Source organism: Homo sapiens, chromosome 5, assembly GCF_000001405.40.
Source record: "Homo sapiens chromosome 5, GRCh38.p14 Primary Assembly".
In the NCBI taxonomy this organism is placed as follows: domain Eukaryota; kingdom Metazoa; phylum Chordata; class Mammalia; order Primates; family Hominidae; genus Homo; species Homo sapiens.
Window position 1 is genome coordinate 21,307,167 of NC_000005.10, and position 20,894 is coordinate 21,328,060.

The 20,894-nt window shown below is 34.5% G+C and overlaps 1 long non-coding RNA gene across 1 annotated transcript in view, besides 1 other annotated feature; it reads right to left on the reverse strand.

The window, feature by feature from the left end:
- Positions 1 to 20,894, reverse strand: part of LOC124900950 (uncharacterized) — a 153,441-nt gene that overhangs the window by 118,931 nt on the left and 13,616 nt on the right. The gene's annotated exons all lie outside the window — the stretch shown is intronic.
- Positions 18,004 to 18,577: an enhancer, noted in NCBI's record as "OCT4-NANOG hESC enhancer chr5:21325279-21325852 (GRCh37/hg19 assembly coordinates)". NCBI's record gives its function as "activates a minimal SCP1, AML or CMV promoter by ChIP-STARR-seq in primed H9 embryonic stem cells {active_cell/tissue: H9 hESC(primed)}" and the evidence as "EXISTENCE:reporter gene assay evidence [ECO:0000049][PMID:30033119]".

The following is a 20,894-nucleotide window of genomic DNA, read 5'->3' on the forward strand; positions in this document are numbered from 1 at the left end:
AGGAATGGAAAACTTGAAATTTGTCCCCTGTGCTAAAACAACAAGGTTTTCTTTGAGTATTGACCTGCTTTTAATAGAAAATAGTGAAATGTTTTCTCTACCTTTTAGATAACTGGCCTAATAAACCACGATTTTTTGTTTATCAAGGTAATTTCTTATGCTTTATGCTCTCTTTTATTAGGTCTTTGATTACTTGAGAAAAGTGAGTGAGGTGGGGCCAAGATGGTTGACTAGAAGCAGCTAGTGTATGCCACTCTCACAAATAGCAGAAAGAGTGGTGAGGTGAGTAGACACTAGCTCTTCAACCGGAACATCCAGGTGGACACATAAGGATTCATCAGTGACATAGTGTGACCTTCGGATCACGGAGAAGAGTGAGACAGATCAACCATTCACCCAGGAGTGGCACAGACCCAGGGGAATCCCCCTACAAGAAAATGGTCAGTGAGTGAGAGTCCTGTGGGATGCATATTCTGCCACGAACCTTTGAATCCCTGGGCTCAGGAGATACCCCAACTGGGGTCTCCAGACCAAAACAGAGAGCCATGTGGAGTCTGGGTAGAGCTGCTTCTTAGGTAGGTGTGGAGTCCCAGTAGCATTTGTTCCCTGGGTACCCCAAAACCAGGGGCTGCAGCTCCAGCAATTGGGAAGGCCAAGTTTTCTTGCATGCTCCCCAGAAAAGGGGCCAAGTCCATGGGGCTGAGCAGTGATAGACTGCAGACCTCACCACCACTGAACCTTGTAGGATAAGTCCCACTAGCCTGGGATGCTAGTGAGGCCACCCTAGTCCTCCTGAGTTCTCCAGCTGGGAGCAGCTCTACACTTCTCTGGCATGAAGCTCCCAAAGAGAGAGGCAGTCCACCTTTTTGCTGTCTCGCAACCCTCCCTCCTGCTGCTCTCAGGCTTGGGAGGGTGCACAGCAATTAGGGACTATCACAGAACCCCAGCACAGTGCATTTGGTGAACTTAAAAAAATCAACAAGTGAAAAACAAACAATCCCATTTAAACGTACACAAAGTACATGAATGGACACTTTCAAAGGAGGGCATATATGTGGCCAGAAAGCATATGACAAAATGCTCAACATCACTAATCATTAGAGAAATGCAAATCAAAATCACAATGAGATACCATCTCACACCAATGAGAATGGCTATTATTAAAAACTCAAAAAATAAGAGATGCTAGTGAGGTTGTGGAGAAAAGGGAATGATTATACAGTGATGGTGGGAATGTAAGGTAGTTCAGCCATTGTGGAAAGCAGTGTGGCAATTTCTCAAAGAACTCAAAGCAGAAGTGCCATTCAACTCATCAATCCTACTATTGAGTATATACCAAAAGAAATACAAATCATTCTACCATAAAGACACATGCACGTGTATGTTCATTGCAGCACTTTTCACAATAGCAAAGACATGGAATCAACCTAAATGCCCATCAGTGGTAGACTGGATGAAGAAAATGTGGTAGATATACAACATGGAATACTATGCAGCCATAAAAAGAATGAGATCATCTCTTTTCCAGCAACATGAGTGGAGCTGGAGGCCATTATCCTAGAAAACCCAATACCATATGTTCTCACTTATAAGGGGAGCTAAACATTGAGTACATATGGACACAAATGGAACAACAGACACTAGGGCCTACTTTAGAGTGGAGGGAGGAAGGAGGATGAAAATTTAAAAATTACCTACTGGGTACTATGCTTATTATCTGGGTTATGAAATAATCTATACACCGAACCCCGTGACACACAATTTATCTATATAAATGCGTCAGTAACCCACATGTGTACCCCTGAACCTAAAATAAAAGTTAAAAAAAGAGAAAAGTAAGTGTTCTCAGTATTAAAAAGCTATGTTTTTGTTGACAATTATGTAAATTTCTACATTTATTTTTTGAAATCTTTTAATTTTCATTTTGGTTACCTGTTATTGTACTCTGATAAAGTGTTTTAAACTGTTTGATGTTTTTGACAAACTTCCCAAAATAATATTTTAAATTAACTCTTTTTGCCCTCAAGTTAATTTTGATATTTCTCATTTGGACCCCTGGAAAGATCAAAGAATGTGTATCTCACATTGTAAAGAGATATATTAAACTAATAAGACTTACTTGATATATTAAATTATATAGGGAGTATTGTCAAAAACTAAGTGGTACTAAACCTTCTTTAAGTTGTATTTCAGAATGTTATTGATATGTGTTACAAAATTATATTAAATTCTTCAAAATCTGATATGTTATCGGTCATAATCTTGGTTATTATTTTCAAGTTTTGTATGCCACAGAAATAAACAAATTTCTTTGTCAATTACATTATTATTATAATAAACTCCATGAGATTTTTAACCATGGCCACTCTAAGTCTGTCATCCACAGGGACCGATTGCTTTCATTCTTTTCTAAAAGCATTTGCAATCAGCTACAATAAAAAATTGCTTCTTCTCTGAAACTGATGATCCATCAAGGTTTAACCCATATACTCCTCTATATACCTCTACAGCCTCCCCAAATCAAGTTGATATATTCCCCTAGCAGTCTGTGCAATGGAGACCAACATTAAATTCTTTTAGATTGTTTTAAATTACATTTTTGAACTTCCAGTTTATTACATACCAAGAGTTGATTACAACCTCCTTGTTTCATAAGTGGAAGCTATGTTAGGGTTGGATGTGGGTGCCATAATTTCTTCAAGGATCCTGGACAGAGACCCACATCAGGATCAGAAACCCTATGATAGCATTGCAGATCTCATGGCTCAATAATCCTTGAAGATTATAATTTTCATCCTACTATCAGTTGGACTTTCTGTCACTTTTCCTGCATTAAGTCTCCTGGTATCAAACAGAGCTCTGTGGTGTCACTGACTGAGGAATGGAATAGAGATGTCCACAAGGGGTCTTGATATCATTACTGCCCAGAGATGTGAAAGGAGAGACCACTTCCTCACCACCCAGCTACTTCACTTCTCTCCCGATATCAGCCCTATAGTTGGACCTAGGCTTTCAGAAGTGTAAGTGTGCAAACAAGTTTGGGTTGGACTTTAAGAGGACACTTTGTCATAGAAGAAAATCCAGTATCTCTAAGCTGGTTTTCTTTTCAGGAAAACATCCTGAGAGACCAGTAAGCAGGGAGATCCTTTTTCTAGTTTGCCTGTAGAGTTAGGAAGACAGTTGATTTTTCAGTCTTTTACAGGATGCTTAAACAAAGCTGTGTAATTACATAAGGTGAATCTTTATCTTGCCTAAGAAGATAAAGTGGGAATCTTCACTCCGCCAGGGCAAATTTCCAAGGAGCTCATTTATTCCATGTCTTTCAAACTTTCATGTGATACATTTCTCTTTCACATTGTTGCTGATTTCCAAATAGCTGTCAGCTAGTTTTTTCCTCCCCCTTTCCTATTCTTCACTATTTTGATAGCAAAGCTCATAGAATTAGAGGACTTAGAAGATGCTTTGTAAACATTGCCACAAAGGAACTGCTGAAATGATTCACAGGAAGACTGGTCAGTTGGGAGAAAGATCCTAAAGATGTTACACTGGTTTTCAACAACATGCTTAGAGAATTCTTGAAGCAGATAGGTGTCAACCCAGTGAAAACAACATTTTGATTTATTTTTTTTTAAAGTTTATGGTGATTGTGTAGGTTTCTAAAATAAGCAAATATTCAAGTCAAGAGATGTTTTGTTTTTTCTTCTGCCAAGAATGGGGTTAGGGGAGCAAAGACACAATTTGGGAAAGGATATATGTGCTATTATAGGGATCACCTTTAAGTTTCTGGGAAGGAATGGGCACGGGTGAGTAGGTTGGCTCAACATTGTCCTGCACTGCTCATTAGGACCTGAGACATGCAAGGGAAATGTGGGTGACATCAGGGCACCCAGGGCACAGCCCCACTAACTGCTGTGCTGAGTTTCTGTAGCCTGCCATGTTTCCCTTGGTGAAGTAAATGAAGATCAAGGAGTCATTTTATGATGTCCTGGTGCTGAGAATAATAAATGTCTTGTTACAAACAGGTGTAACAATAGTTTTTTTCTGGATTATTATCAGGGTGGTCAGCTCTGGATTAAGCCACCCACATCCAATTTGTACAATAATATTGATACATAGGGCTACACTTATTACTGCTCAAGCATTCTATTTTAATAATTGTGTTTTACTTCTAAAGGTTAAATAAAAGCAAAAAAATGGTGCTAAACTATCAAACTGTTCCCCTATTTGTTTTCTCCAGCGTATAACATATATACGTATATATTTTATTTTATTGAAGATGCAGTAGGATACCTGCCATTTAAGAAAATAAATAGAAAATTTAAAATCCCAACAAATGAGAAAAAGAAATTCAGTACCCAAGAATAGGGCTAGTCCAGCACCACCCCGAAGTAGGCTGTGGTTTATGGAGTGAAGAGCCTTGCTCCCTTTACATTCGCTCATGCTCCCATACAAGGCTAGCAGTAGAAATGCTTGAATTCTGCTTGGCTTGCCAAGGGGACTCAGGAGTCAACCAAGGGAACTATTTGGCTCCACGAGGAATGGACACCTCAGGATGCTTCCTGAACAGGGCCTAGTCAGGAAGTAGCCTGGATGTGTATAGTCATGTTCACCTCATGAAAATGTGTGGCAGGTGGCTCTCAGGAAAAACACCAAGTCTGGATCATCTGTGTGGCAGCTTTGCCTGGGGAGGTAACAGCTCCAAATTGAAACTGAACTGCATCCTACATGCTTTACCAAAGCAGTGATGAGAGTGATCAGTGCATGTGGTGTGAGTGGTAGGTTTAAAAAAAAGGGAACGTTTTACGCTCAGTGTTTCCTTTGCCTTTGGGCTACTCAATCTGGACAATAGGTAACCATTCTTTTCAATGAATCAACCCAACTTTGCTGGCTTGGTTTGTGGTTTGTTTCATCCCTAGCTATGAGCATGTTTTGGTCTACAAACTTGGCTTGTCTCATAATACATTCCCTTTCTGTAATTTTTTAAATTTTTTATTTCCATAGGTTTTTGGAGAACATGAGGTATTTGGTTACATGAGTAAGTTCTTTAGCGGTGATTTGTGAGATTTTGGTGCACACATCACCCGAGCACTATACACTGAACTCAATTTGTAGTCTTTTACCCCTCATGCCTTTCCCACTCTTTCCCTTGAGTCCCCAAAGTCCACTGTATCATTCTTATGCCTTTGCATCTTCATAGCTTAGCTCCCACTTAAGAGTGAGAACATACAATGTTTGGTTTTCCATTCCTGAGATACTTCACTTAGAATAATAGTCTCCAATCCCATCCAGGTTATTATGAATGCCATTAATTCATTCCTTTTTATGGCTGAGTAGTATTCCATCACATATATGTATTTATGCATATATATATATACATACATATCGCATACACACACATACACACATAAATATATACCACAGTTTATTCACTCATTGATTCACGGGCATTTAGGCTGGTTCCACATTTTTGCAATTGCTAATTGTGCTGTTATAAACGTGCATGTGCAAGTATCTTTTTTGTGTAATGACTTCTTTTCCTCTGGGTAGATAACCAGTAAGATTGCTGGATCGAATGGTAGTTCTACTTTTATGAATTGTCCTTGTTTTTCTTTAAAAGTTAATACTTTTGATCACTATAGTTTGTTAGTGTTGGATTGTTTCCACTTTGAAATTTCTAAACTTTTTCCCTTCATAATGTTAAAACAAGTTATGTTAGATGCCCTTTCAACATGAAAGGTTTGTAGTTAAGATATTACATATATTTTATTGTTTATAATAAAAATCTAGACAAAAGAAGTGCCCAGTGTTAATTATAATATTTTACACAGTATCTTTTTTCCCATGATGTGTTAATATCTACAATTTCATTAAATGTTGATGTTATTTTCTATTGAGATTCAGAAGCCTAGGGAGCTATGTGTTCATTTTGGTTATTTTTGTTGTTATTTCCCTGAAGCAAAAGACTACATGGCCTTCAGTGCAACAACCTCAGTCCAATTCTGAAGTTTATTATACTTGCTTGTCTCTTGGCTATTTAACTTCTGAGTGCAAATCATTGAACTCCCTAATGAAGTATTGTAGAGAATAAATTAAAATGAATAAAGAAAAATACTTCCTCTTCAAGGAGGATCATGAAAAGGATTCTAACAAGTATGCTGGAATTTAGATTTCTTATGAGTTTACGATTATACCACTGGACTGGGAAAGAATTTCCAGAACTCTAATGAAGAAACGATGGCTTCTTAAAACATCTAACCCAGATCAAGTAGAATAAGTTTAATGAATGGGACTAAACAAACTGATGGCAATATTTTCAAGTGACTTTCTGTTTAACATTTTGCTGTTTTTTAAAATTTTTTGTTTTCCAGATTTGAGAAAACTTTTAAAAAGCTATCGATAGTATATAGCAATTTGGTAAAGTACACTTTTATAAATAAAAATGGAAATATTTATTTTTTCTTCCTACCTGAGCCTGCAGTCTTCAGAGAGCTCTTATTGATATTTTTATTTTATGGCAACATAGTTATTTGCATAAATTCAATAAAAATCTATTCTCTTTGTAACAGGATAGAATTAGAAACATTGGTTATATTATAAATGGCTTGACTTGAATGTGATATTTGAGACTATGCATAGGATGCCTAGCTTCAAGGATTCCCAAGCTCACAGTGAGTGAATAAACATTTTTACCTCTTGACAGGCCAGGAACCTTCAGATATATTGGAGACCTCAAGAAGAGAGAAATTCATGCAAATTTTTAGATACTGCAGCCAAAGTCTGATGTTCACCCTCCTTTGACTTCTGACCCTTGAAAGGCTTTTAAAAGTCGAATCTGAGATTTCTTATCAAAAGTTCCATCAAAATAAACTTAAAAACAGCCCATGTTTCATCCCTTTTCTTGCTACACTGTTGTCAATAATCATGCCAAGTTTAATGAGACTAAACTTATTCAGCAGACAAATTAGTCTTACTCTGATTATCTTTAGTAGAAATAGGGACGATTGTACAGAGAAAAATTATGTTTCTGAAGAAAAACTGCAGTACACCTGTTATTAGATTGTAGTTTTCTTTGTTGTTTTCAAGTTTTTGTCATCTAACTCTAAATTAGACAGGGCACTTAATTATTCTAATTTCCTCCAACATCTGGCTACGATTCTCCAACTAAGAACATAAACTGCCTTGTTCCTAAAGTCCTATAAGTTGGAGCCAGAAAACTCCATGTAAATTTCAAGAGAGAAATCTCATGGCTATTGTGTGGGCTACAAAGAGAATTGACTAAAATGCCCCATGCTATACCCAGGAACATTCAAACTACAAACCAGAGTAAGAAGTTGATGACATCACAGTGTGGAAAGCTTTTCCCAAGACACTGTAACAAAACTGGACTCTTATCCTTCTTATTTTTTTTTCTTGCTTATGCCTACATTTTTCACTTGGCAGAATAACGCTGTGGTTAGAATTTCACATTCAGTAGCTTCCGTAACTGAATGAAGTTTTGGATCTGTTGTGTCAAACCCACATCTTTACATGACCTAAGGGATCCTTTAGTCCACCCAGTGGGTAACTATGGCAACATCCCTAATGACTTATTTGCCACCTTGGGTTTCACTGCAGGCTTCACTGCAAAGGCTATTGCCGCCCAGCAGTGCTCATTAAAGTATCTTGCTGAGTAGCCGTAGATAACACAACAGAACAGGATGAGATAACTCTCAATTATCTACTGGTTGAACAAGAATGTCTGTGCCATTGCTAATAACTACATGCTGTACCTGAATATATTTCTCTGGGGAAGTCAAGACCTAATTGCATAAAATAGCAAGACAGGCTTTATGGCTACAACAGATCTCACTCAGTCTCACATAGACTTTTGATTCATTAGTTGGCTGCCTTTGGGTCCATGTTCATAGACAATATTTCATGTTACTATTAATTTTGTACCGCATCATTCTTTTTAAACTTTTTATCTGTTTCCTGTCCAACCTCTGCAGAAATGATGCATCTAACAGAATAACACTGGTCCAGAACTTCCAAATGGTAGTCAATGCCTATGGAACTGACAAAATTGAACTTAGCAATGAACTCCAGGCACATTTATCCTGAGAGCCACTCCTTCTGAACCTCTTTGTTTCTTAAATGTGACTAAAAGGGTTTTGACATCTGCTCTTAGTTGCTGGCCATTCATCTCTGATGCAGGATCAGACTAACTAGGAAAGGTCCACTCCAGCACCAAGAAACAATCAAAACCTAACTATAGGCTGATTAATCTGCAATGCTTTCAGAAAAAAGTCTTGGTCAAAAGGGGGAAATGTTAAAGTTACCAGCAAAGAAGTTGACTCACTTAAGTCAAACCACAACAAAATGGAGCTCGGAGAGTATAAAAGAAGGCCCTTCATGCATGGATGTCTCTAAAAGAATTATTGCAAGGACTCTCTGAAAACCACAAAAATTTTAGATACGACGCTTCTATGAAGACATCTTCCCAGCAACAGCCAGTATCACCAATGAGTATTTGTCCACACCAAGCAGTAAGCTTCTGGGGCCAAAGAGGTTTATTTTAAAATAATTTACATGAACTTCACCTTTTTTTTTTCTTTATTTCTTCTTCTTCTTCAAAAAACAAACAAAAGGAATATATGTGCAGAACGTGCAGGTTTGTTACATAGGTATACGTATGCCATGGTGGTTTGCTACACTTTTCAACCTATCATCTAAGTTCCCTCCCCTCACCCCCCAACCTCCAACAGGCCCCAGTGTGTGTTGTTTCCTTCTCTGTGTCCATTTGTTCTCAATGTTCGAATCCCACTTACGAATAAGAACATGCGGTATTTGGTTTTCTGTTCCTGTGTTAGTTTGCTGAGGATGATGGCTACCAGTTTCATCCATGTTTCTGCAAAGGACATGCTCTCATTCCTTTTTATAGCTGCATAGTATTCCATGGTGTATATGTACCACATTTTCTTTATCCAGTCTATCAGTGATGGGCATTTGGGTTGGGTCCATGTCTTTGCTATTGTAAATAGTGCTGCAATAAATATATATATATGTATGTTGCCTTACAGTAGAATGACTTATATTCCTTTGGGTATATACCTAGTAATGGGATTGCTGGGTCAAATGGTATTTCTAGTTCTAGATCCTTGAGGAATGCCCATACTGTCTTCCACAATGGTTGAATTAATTCACTTTCCCACCAACAGTGTAAGAGCGTTCCCATTTCTCCACATCCTCTCCAGTATTTATTGTTTCCTGACTTTTTAATAATCTCCATTCTAATTGGCGTGAAATGGCATCTCATTGTGGTTTTGATTTGCATTTCTCTGGTGATCAGTGATGTTGAGCTTCTTTTGTATGTTTTTTGGCCACGTAAATGTCTTTTTTTGAGATGTGTCTGTTCATATCCTTTGCCCACTTTTTGATAGCGTTGTTTGTCTTTTTCTTGTAAGCATGTTTAAGTCCCTTGTAAATTCTAGATATTAGATCATTGTCAGATGGGTAGATTGCAAAAATTTTCTCCCAGTCTGTAGGCTGCTTGTTCACTTTGATGATAGTTTTTTTTTTTTTTTTTTTTTTTTTGCTGTGCAGAAGCTCTTTAGTTTAATTAGATCCCATTGTCAATTTTGGCTTTTGTTGCAATTGCTTTTGGCACTTTTGTCATGAAGTCTTTGCCCACCATGCCTATGTCCTGAATGTTGTTGCCTAGGTTTTCTTCTAGGGTTTTTATGGTTTGGGGTTTTACATTTAAGTCTTTAATCCATCTTGAGTTAATTTTTGTATAAGGTGTAAGGAAGGGGTCCAGTTTCAGTTTCCTGTATATGGCTAGCCAGATTTCCCACATTATTACTGAATATGAGATCCTTTCCCATTGCTTGTTTTTGTCATGTTTGTTGAAGATCAGGTGGTTGTAGACGTTTGGTGTATTTCTGAGGTCTATGTTCACCTTCATTGGTCTATATGTCTGTTTTGGTACCAGTTCCATGCTGTTTTGGTTACTGAGGCCCTGTAGTAATGAAGTCAGGTAGTGTGATGCCTCCAGTTTTGTTCTTTATGCTTAGGATTGTCTTGGCTATATGGGGTCTTCTTTGATTCCATATGAAATTTAAAATTGGTTTTTCTAATTCTGTGAAGAATGCCAATGGTAGTTTGATGGGGAACTTCACCTTTTACCCTTAAAAAAGCTTTGGATCCCCCAGCTTTTTCAAATGTGCCTATGGTTCACTACGGTACACATATCCCAAATTGCAGTTCATTGCTCTTCCCAGATAAACTATTTTGAAAAGTCAGTCTCTCTGCTGTTTATTTTAATAATTTTTAATAGAAGTACATCTTTCTTAAAAGCATAGCAAAAATTTTAAGTACATTCACAATAATAATAATTAGGAAACAAATGATCATTGCTTCGATTTTAAGAATTATGAATTTCTTTAATTTTTCAAGTTGAAATATAGAACATGTTTTATTTAGTTACCAATTTATTTCTGTATTTTTCATGAAACAATTTACTTTGGTAAGAAATTTCAAGGAATCTGTGGCATAAATATATATTTGGTCAATGTTCCTTGACCCAAAGTATTAAGGCTGGGTTGTATTTAATTCAGTGACTAAGTAATTTAGTCAGGTTATTCAATAAATTAATGAGGTAATTATCTATAAATTGTTATAATCTGTAAATCTATAAATCATATGTAAAATTTTATTATAAAAAGCAAATGAGTCTTTCTAACAATAGCTAGTTCCAACAATAAAATAACTTCACTTTTAGTTAGCAAGCCCGTATTACATTTCTAAATATTGAAGTCTGTGCAGTAGTTAATGATCTTTTAGTCAATTATTGAGAAAAAAACTTTTAGTACAGTAGAAGATATAAAAAACATGATTGAGCTCAATTTCTCTTTTTAAAAAAATCACTGATTTCTTGGTCAAACTTTTGCTTCTTTTGGAACTTTTGAACTTTGTGGCCATGTGAAATGGCACTCTGAAACTTCTAGTAGACTCAAATTGAGGTAACTTTCTTGCTCACAACAATTTTATGTCCAGTTTCTACTATAAGCCATTATTTCTAACACATGCCATGGTTCCATGTTTGAACTAATGTTAATACCACCTGCCCCTACATGACTGAGTCTGAGCACATCCCTGGGCCACATCAAGCACCATGGCAGATTAATCATTCCTTACGGTTTTAACAGGCAAGCTGGGGAAAAAAAATAACTGTCTCCTCCAGCTTTGGTTATGAGTGAGTTTCTTACCTTTTAATGGTGAAAAATAAACTTATCTGTCATAGGAGAAAATAACATTACACTCATATGGAAGCAGAGGTGAGAAGTGAAGCCTTAGTCACTATGGAGTCCTGTCCCAGGTTCCACTTGCCAGGACCCTTGAGCTGTTCTGCTTCCTAGAGAGCATCCTTTGAATCTTGATATCTCCAGTATCTTCCAGTTACTACTCATTTAGCCTAAAGGTCTTTTAGTTAGAAGTGTTGGCAATTGAAAGAGCTCTGACTAAAAATGCTACTCTATCAAACCAGTTAATTTCATTTAAATTTTAATTTAGTTGGCATAATTAGGTAGCAGACCTAGTGACTTCAAAAATGTAGAGAATCAGCACCAGATTACAACATGACCAAAAAAGCATCATCCTACAGTTACTTATGAGTTACAAAAGAAAATTAGAAGTGCAAAAACTTGAATCACAAATGTAATTTAGTTTCAGAAATAATAGGACAACTTGGCATGTACCTTCTGATGTGTGATAAATAATACACCACTTGAAAAGTATTCCATAAAAATGTTTAACCTAAGGGTGGTTATACCTCTAAACCTAACATCCAGTGTGCAAGAAATGCAGGAACACATGGCAAGTTACTCCACACCAGCAGGAAATTATCAAACAAATACAGGATGTAGAACATTCTGCGCAATAATAACTGACCTGAACTTCAAAAAGTCCATCTTAGTTTAAAAAGTGGTGAGATTGTTACAGATAAAAAGACAAAATGATATGATGACTTACCAAACAAATGTAAAATATGAAATTGATGAGGTACTATTTTTTAGAAGTATATAAGGGAGAATTGTGAAGAACTAGGAAAAGTTGGATGTAGACAAGATATTAGATAATATTATGGAATTAGTATAAAATTTTCATAGTTGTTAAAATGATTATTGTCAGTGTTTTCACAGTTTGGGATACTGAAAAGACTCATAAGACTCTGTAGAGCATATGCACACGAGGCTTTTACTACAGCAGCAGAGGATGATGGAGTAAAAGCAAGCAAGGGAAGGCAAGCACCATAGACTCTGGCAAATATTTCAGGTGCTTCTATCCACGGTTGTAAGGGTGCGTGTGTGTGTGTGTGTGTCGTGTGTTGTGTGTGTGTGTTGTATTGTGAGTGTTGTGTGTTGTGTATGTGTGTTTGCACAGGACATACTTCATCTCTGAAATACAATTCATCAAGATTTTGTGAGGAATTTTGACTTAGAAGCAAGGTCTCCCAAATTTCCAGGTGAACCTTTTGTCAGGCTGCATGCCTGGTTATACCAGGTGTAAGCCATCAATACGTAAACTAGCCACAGGAGTTTCAAACTTTAAACAGACTGTATTTAATCTTGCCCTCATTTTGGCCAGGAATCAGTACCAGACTTTCAGATGTTCTGGGAGATAACTATAGAGCTGTCTCAGTCCAGCAGTAAAAAATAAATCTTACCCATCGGCACTGTGGGAGAATGCCCTAATTTATTGGAATTTCATGCTGAAATGTTTTGGGCCAAAATATTCAGATCTCCATGGTTCTACCTATCTAAAGAGATATTTAGTGAAATTAATAATATATGGTAATATGTTAGCAATTACTAAATATAGGTGGATATTATATTAATCTTGTGTGAAATATTCTTTTAAATTTTCATTATGTCTGAAAAATCTTCACAATAAAAATAAGGAAAATCAATAAAGATTCCTGCTAAGTTGTTCTGTGATCTTAGTACAGGACATTATTTTAAAATTCTTCGAAATAAAATATTTTGGTATTTAATGGATTACATATTTATATGAGATCTTAGCAACCTCACATATTACAAATTCTCTTTTCTAGATACAATAATGCTGCAGTGTACATACACACATATTATATATATAATATACAATGTCTAAATTTTTGTACAATGTGAATATATAATATATGAATGTAATATTCATATGTAATATTAATATGTATATTATATAGTCATATTCTAAAGTTCAGGTATTAAATTGAGTCAAATCTGTTTACCATTCCTCCCTCTCTCCCTCATTCCCTCCCTCCCTTTTTTCTTTCCTTCCTTCTTTCCTTTCTTCCTTCCTTCCTTCTCCCCTTCCTTCTTTCCTCCTTGCTTCCTTCCTTCCCTCTTTGCTTCCTTCTTTCCTTCCTTCTTTTGTTAATTTAGTCATATTGCAGACAGGGCCTCAGAAAATAAGTAGTGAAGATCCACGTAGAATAGGGAAGACTTCTGTGAGGGAGTGCCATTTAAACAGAACCTTGAATTATAAGAAGAGGTTACTAAAGAGAAGATGGAGAAAAGACTTTGAAAGCATATGCACCATTCCTGAAACAGTGTAAGCCAGGAACATTTTGAGGAATTAAGAGCAGTTTTGCTTGCCATAATGAGCTAGTGATTTGAGAAAATCAGATGATAGTAACAAAATCAGATGATATGTATTTTTTAAAACAAATTTAAAAATAAAGAGCATAATGTTTTCACATACATGTTAAGAGATAAAAATAGACAAATTATACATGGCCTTATAGGTTGAGATAAAGACTTTGATTGTATTCTGTGTGACATGGAGATCCATTGAATAATTTTAAAAGAAGAAGAAATATGGCCAAATTTCCACCACAGTAGAATCTGCTGGGAAAAAATAAAAGTGAATAAGGGATGCAGGAAGTGGAAGCAGTGAGAATATTTTTGGAGATTGATTTTCCTCAGATATCAGTTACTATCCCCAAGTTTTCTCATTCCAGTAGTGATGTCATCGTTGCCAATTACTGAAGCCAGGAAGTTAGGAATCATCAGTCTTTTTCTTTTGAATTAATGTGACAGTAGTAGAGAGAGAGAAAAAAGTAGGCATGATGTATGTTATTTAGAGGATAAGATCTACAGATTTGAAATTGATTTGGCATAAACCCACAGGAAAGTGAAGAATCAAGCATGTATTCTAAGCTTCTGGCTTGAGCAAGTGAGCAATCAGCAACATCAGCCCTGTGACTTACTAGAGTTTTACTGAGGTATACTTTGTAATGTAATAGCTGTGAGAAACTGAATATCATTGAAATTTAGAAAAGGTTATGACAATGTCATTGGGTTAATAGATAGCCTTTTCTTACAAAGATTTGTAAAAATGAGAGGCCCTAGAAATTTGCTGTGTATATTATGCATACAAATATCACCTCCAGTGAATTCGTTTGGAAAAGAAACTCAAAGCAAGGCCAGACAAAGAAAACAAAAATAAAAGAAAAGAAAGGGAAAGGACAGGGAAGAAAAGGCAAGAAAAAACAAGACAGACAAAACATTGGAAAAATATGACAGAGAGAGTAAGAATTGTATATATCATAATTTTAAAATATTTTAAATTTATAAAATTATTTTTTGACTTTTTTTAATTCAAGAAGACCCTGGATATAAGTCCATCAGTATATAAATAATTGCTAAGAACTGGGACTAAATTTTAAATAAACTACACTGTTGAAAAAGCCAATATTTTCAAGAAAATTGACCAAAAGGTATCCTTGTCTTCATTTCCACTGACATCTTATGACTGCCATATTTTTTCAGCTATGGCTCTTTTTCTACCAATGGCACGTCACAAAAATGTGTGAACCTCTGGTCACTATAATTATTCACACCAATATTGCATAATTTTACCTCAGAATGTTTTTTCCAACTACATTCTTTTTCCAGGGGCATTTATATTCAATGTTTTTTCCAGGGGCATTTACATTCTGAATACTGTGCCTCAAAGTCAAACTGGTTAGCATTACAATCTTGTCTCGTATTACATATGCATTTATTAATGTACAAATTGACCTCATAAATAGAATATATTTGTCAGGAGTTTCAGGTCTTGTGTTCCCAACACCTAACAATAGATACTTGTTGAATAAATTATGAAAGGGAAAAATATTTTTTAAGAAATTTTGAAAACTTAAAAAGGAAACAAAGGTGTCACAATGGAAACAAAATTTCACTTTTTTTTTCTCTGAGTTTAGAGTAAATCTCAGATTCAAACACATCTAAGGATGTACAATTATCAATTATGTAATTCCAAGGGAAAGTAATTTGTACTTACAGGTTAGATATGATAATTAATTCACTTAATTCTACTCGTTTGCTTTAAAAAAAAAAGGCTGTCAGAAATAATACATCACAGTAAAACCTCCTATCCAACAAGAAAAGATTGTATTTGGGAAAACATTTTCATAGACCTAAATTTAGTAATGTTTCCAACTTACATTTCACCAGTTAAGCTTCCCATTAGAAAATGTGTTTGTATGACACCAGTTCCACTTGCATTTTTTCCCATAGGTTTCCCAGCAGACGTTTACAATCCTTTAGTGATGTTATAGCCAGAATTGTATTAGGTAATAATATAAAATCCCTAAATTTTATGTACAAACCTTCACTGATATTTTGTAGTTATCATGAAAGAATCCTTGTATTTATTTCTATTCTAATTCTCCTCATGTCATTGGTATTTTATATGTATTCATTGTAAACATGTGTTGAATGTTCTAAATTTACACAAGCAAAACAATGTACATATTCCAGCGCTTAATATTTTCCCTCTCCCTGTTTTTATTCCATGGCTTTCTCTTGCTTTCACTATTGCAAACTCTGACCCTGAGAGGCAAGAGTCATGACCATTTAGTAAGATGTATCGTTGAGTATCATAAAATAGTTGGATAGTCTGCTATTTTTTTATAGTAGCAAAAATAGAATGTTCATATGCTTGCCCATGATTTTTATACATTTTTAAATTTGTCTACCACATGCCTAAATTTACCAAATTAAGTACATGTATATAAAACATTTGCACAAATGTTACTCAAGTTGTCTGAAATAAAAATACATGTATTTTGCAATTTAGAGCACATGACACTAAAAATGTATAGCTCCGTTAACTCACCTTTTGAACAAATTTCAGTAAGAAATTTCAGAATGAATATAAAAAAGTTAAGAAATATTCTAATATATAGTAGCTGAAAAGTTTACAGAAGTAAAGAAGAAAGACACAAATTAGTAGATTCTGAAGAATTATCTATATGAACCCATAACTATTCTCTTTATTTTGGATATTCTATTGTTTCCTTATAATTTGTTTATAAGTTTCCTTATAAATAAACAAATTATAAGGAAACAACGGAATATCCAAAACAGAATATGCAAGCCAATTAACAATCACCATTTTTACCAACAAAAATATTGAAAGTCAGAAAATTGTGGAATATCTTTGAAGGGCTAATAAATGATAATGGCAAATCTAGAATTTTATGTCAATTAGATTTAGAATTCAAGAGCAGATCAAAATAGAGACATCTTCAGACAACCCAAAAACTGAGGGTTTACTACCAAGAATAGTAACTTTTACAGTATATATCATAGAATAAAGGATAATTAACTGGATGTAAATTCCAAAATATTAGAAGAAGAAAGGATGTGAAAAAATATATATAAGCAATCACAATTTTATTTAACAAACACACCAACAATATGTGATTTGTGGGAATAAGAAAAACAATGTAAATATAAAATAATGAACAATTTGTAGCAAATATTTTTAAATAATTGCAATTAAAGAGCCCTAAGACTTGGTATTGTTTGGGCTTGGTGTTAATAAACTTTATATTTTATGTTAATAATGTTTATTAGAATATCAAAATTGCCTAGCAAAAGAAAACTGATAATGTGAATAATTTCCAAAATAAAAGAGATAAGTTACAAACAATGTTAAAGTAAACAAATGCAAAACAAGGCAAAAAAAAAAAATCAAAGTGAGAAAGACCAGCAAAGTGAATAAAAGGAAGAAAATATGACTTTAAATATAAAAAAAAATAAATGAAAACCTAAAAAATAACATGCAAGTTGCCAAAATAAAACAATTTACTTGACTGAATAAAGGTCGTTAAAGGATTTCTTCAGCTGGTGAGCACCAGGCAAACCTGAAGACTAGGTAGTTCCAGACTGAAGTAGGATCAGGCTTCTAACAGAAGAAGTCTGTTGAGTATGCCTGGTTTAGGCTGGACAGATATTTTCTGCTTTAACTGAAGTTGAGTTTAGGTTTTTGGGTTTTTTTCTGTTTGTTTTTGTTTTATCTGTTTATGTTCCACTTTCAGAGTCTCATTATCCATCAGAACAATATTATATGAGAACAATCTTTGCAGTTGATGGGCTAACCACGTTCCCTGGGTGGAGCAGGGGAAGTAGACAAGAATAAGAATGAAGTGGATGTAAAGGAAGAAGGCAAGGGGTGGGGGATTATTACCCTCTAGTATGTTTGTTTTAATCACTTTACACGGTTACTAGTTTTCAAATTTACTAAATATTTTATATGATTCAAATCATTAACTGAGAAATTTATTTCAAATTCAGTGCTCTTTGCAAAGTACTGGCTAGATGTTGGAATCCAAAAATGAACTGTGAAAAAAGGCCCGTGTCCTCAGGAACTTATGTTCAGAAGAAATGGAAAAACAAAATTAAATAAGTGGATAAATACATGTGTGTTGTTTTACTAAGACCTTATTTATTAAATATTTTGCTAAGCCTATAATATTAAATCAGCTATTTATATATCTCTATATAACAATGGTTCTAGAGTCAGGACGTTAACCTTGTGGACTCCTCAGTGACCTTGAGTAATCACTCAACCAAAATACATTTGTATTTAAATACGAACATAAGTTCTAACATTATGTTGTTACCCTAGCCACTTCACAAAATATGTTCGAACAATAGGTTGTTACCCTAGGCACTTCACAAAATATTTGAAAAACACATTGATAGATAATTTGATGATTCTATAAATCTGGTAAATGAATTAGAAATATTATGAAAGGTTTTTCTGAGAGGATACCATCGAGCAAAGAGAAAATGACTAGCATTTGACACTATGTAACTTTAAATCTATATTTCAGGGACCTCTGTCACTTTCTTGGGGAATTGAATCACCTATTCCTACTTAGCAGCATGAAAATGAGTTGAATCTCCAGGTTATAGCATTTGAAGGCATGCCTGAGAAGAGCAGATTCACAAATCAACAGGTGGTTGATGTTTTCTGTGGGGAGCATTCCTACCTCAATCCTGCTGCTGTGACCCATTCCTAACAGCTTTGGGGTCTACAGTCCCCCTTGGTACCTGCTGGGGATTTGTTCCAGGACCACCACCAATCCTACCACCATCATCCCTTCATAGCAAAAGCCAGAGATGCTCAAGTTTCTTATATAAAATGGCCTAGTATTTGCATATAACTTACACACACCCTCTTGTATACTTTATATCATTTCCAGATTACCTACATTAATAATACTGAATACAATATAAATGCTATGCACATAATTGTTATAAGGATTGTTTTTTATTTGCATTGTTTTATTGTTGTATTTCTTTTTAAAAATTATTTTTGGTATTTCTTTTAACAAATATGTTTGATTCATGTTAGTTAAATCCACCCACAATGGGGTTATGGAGGGTCAATTGTATTCAGGAATTTGCATTAACAGACTTAAGAGCCTAGTAGATTCTTTGCTTAAATGAACTCTGTGCAGACACAGCATTCAACATTTCTATTTTGATACTTTAAGCAGACTGCAGTGTTTGACAAGCTATTTCAGTAATATGCAATAATCTTTACAAAATAGACATAGATGTTCTGTGACCCCAAATTCTCTGAAACTCTAAACTCAATTATTGAATCTATAGTGGTGTTTCTGATCAGATTACAACATGAAGGAAGCAATGGAACTTGGCCTAATGTAATGAAAAATATTGCTATCTCTCCACTGATTATTTTGGATGATGGGAGAGCTGTATAGCCATTTAACTAAAGAGGAATCCTTTCATGAACTACTCTGAAGTACTTTAAGAGATGGAGTTGCTGAAGAAAAAAGATTGAAAACAATTGGCTTAGCTGTTTGGAGCGTGGCAAGAATGTAACTACAATCTGTCATTGTGTGGGCAGACAGATTGCCTGAAAATTGAATAAATTGGAAATCACTGGAAGGCAGCTATTTTGTCCTTGAGTGCATTAGATATCTTGGAAAAATGTTATTAAATGGTGAACAATTGCTATCGAAAAGTTTCTAGTTGTTTGGAATATAGAGTTACATAAAGTCAAGATTCTATTATTATTCTAATAATAGATAAAACCCGAATGTAAAGAAAATGTTTCCTATGAAATATGTAATTTAATTCTTATCAGAGCAATACTTTAAACAATTATTTGATTATCCTGTGTTTGTGAATGTATATAAAGTAAGCAATAACCTTATTTTCTCCTCTTTGTAATTTAATTCATTGGAAATTTAGAATCTCAGACTTCTCTCCAGCCCTGTTAAATCTGCATCTTCATTTCCAGGTCACTCATATACTGTTTAACTTTGAGAAGCACTGCTGTATATTGTCTTGAGAGTCCATACTATGAAATAAATTGGCCCTTATTTACTCCTCAATTGAAATTCTTCAAAGACTTCCTTAAAGTTTCTAAATAAGTCCCAGTTAGTGGAAATGAACTGAATTTAGTTTAATTTTTTTATCATGCATTGCTGTCCAAAAGAAGAAAGCTTATTTCTGCCAACTTCTTCTTATCCTCAACTTCCAACCACTGTCACGTCTGTCTTCTTTCTTTTTAATATTTTCAGGTGAATTAGAGGTTTGTCAACCATAAGAATGAAATATATGGTTTATGGCCTATTTTTATGTAACTGGTCATTCTGAGATCTGGAAAATACTACCTGTGTTTATCTGCAACTAAAATCTAGACACCTGAGCCTACACTGCATAGCGAAACAGGTCACTAGAAAAACACAAGCAATTTAGAAAGGCTTTTAATATTGAACAGTTGCATTTTGTTTCTATTCATGTCTATCGCTTTCTCTTTTTTATTCTAAATCACTTTATTATATTCTATATTTAATATTCTATCATTAATATGTCAATAACAGTCAATAATAATTGAGGACTTAGGTTTTGTCAATACACTGATTTATAATTAGTACAATATGTTATGAGTTTCCTTCGCACATTAATATTATCAGCTCTTCATTTTTTGTTGTTCACAATATATCTTCAACTACCTTTTTATTTTTAGGCAATGTACATATTACAATTTAAGAATAACATCTTCTTTGTTAAATATTTATTTCCACCCCTTTTCAGAAAATTAGATGGTTTACACTTATTGTTAGAAATAATATAAAGCTTTTCTGGTTTTGTGCTTCTAAATAATATTATTAATATATTCTTTTGTAATTACAAAAACTCCTTGTTTTTGTTTTGTAATTACTTTCTCAATAAAATAGAGCTGCAAATATTTTGTTCCTTTAAATATTTCAAATAAATAATTTTCATTTATAATAAAAAATATAAAATATGCCAAAGAATTTATTATTTCAAAAAATATGTCATTCACCAATTTGCTTTTAAATTTGTGAAGTCTCATTTTATTTTAATACTTTAATCATAGATCTTAACTTTCTTATAATTAATTTTAATTTGTATTTAACATGGTAATAATATTTTTACTTAATTTTATATTGTTGGGTTAGTAGTCACTGTTAGTACACATAACTATTTTACTTTTTCAACATATAATTTTCATTAATCTTATTCAGATAAAGTTCATTTTCACTATTTTTCTTCAGTTGG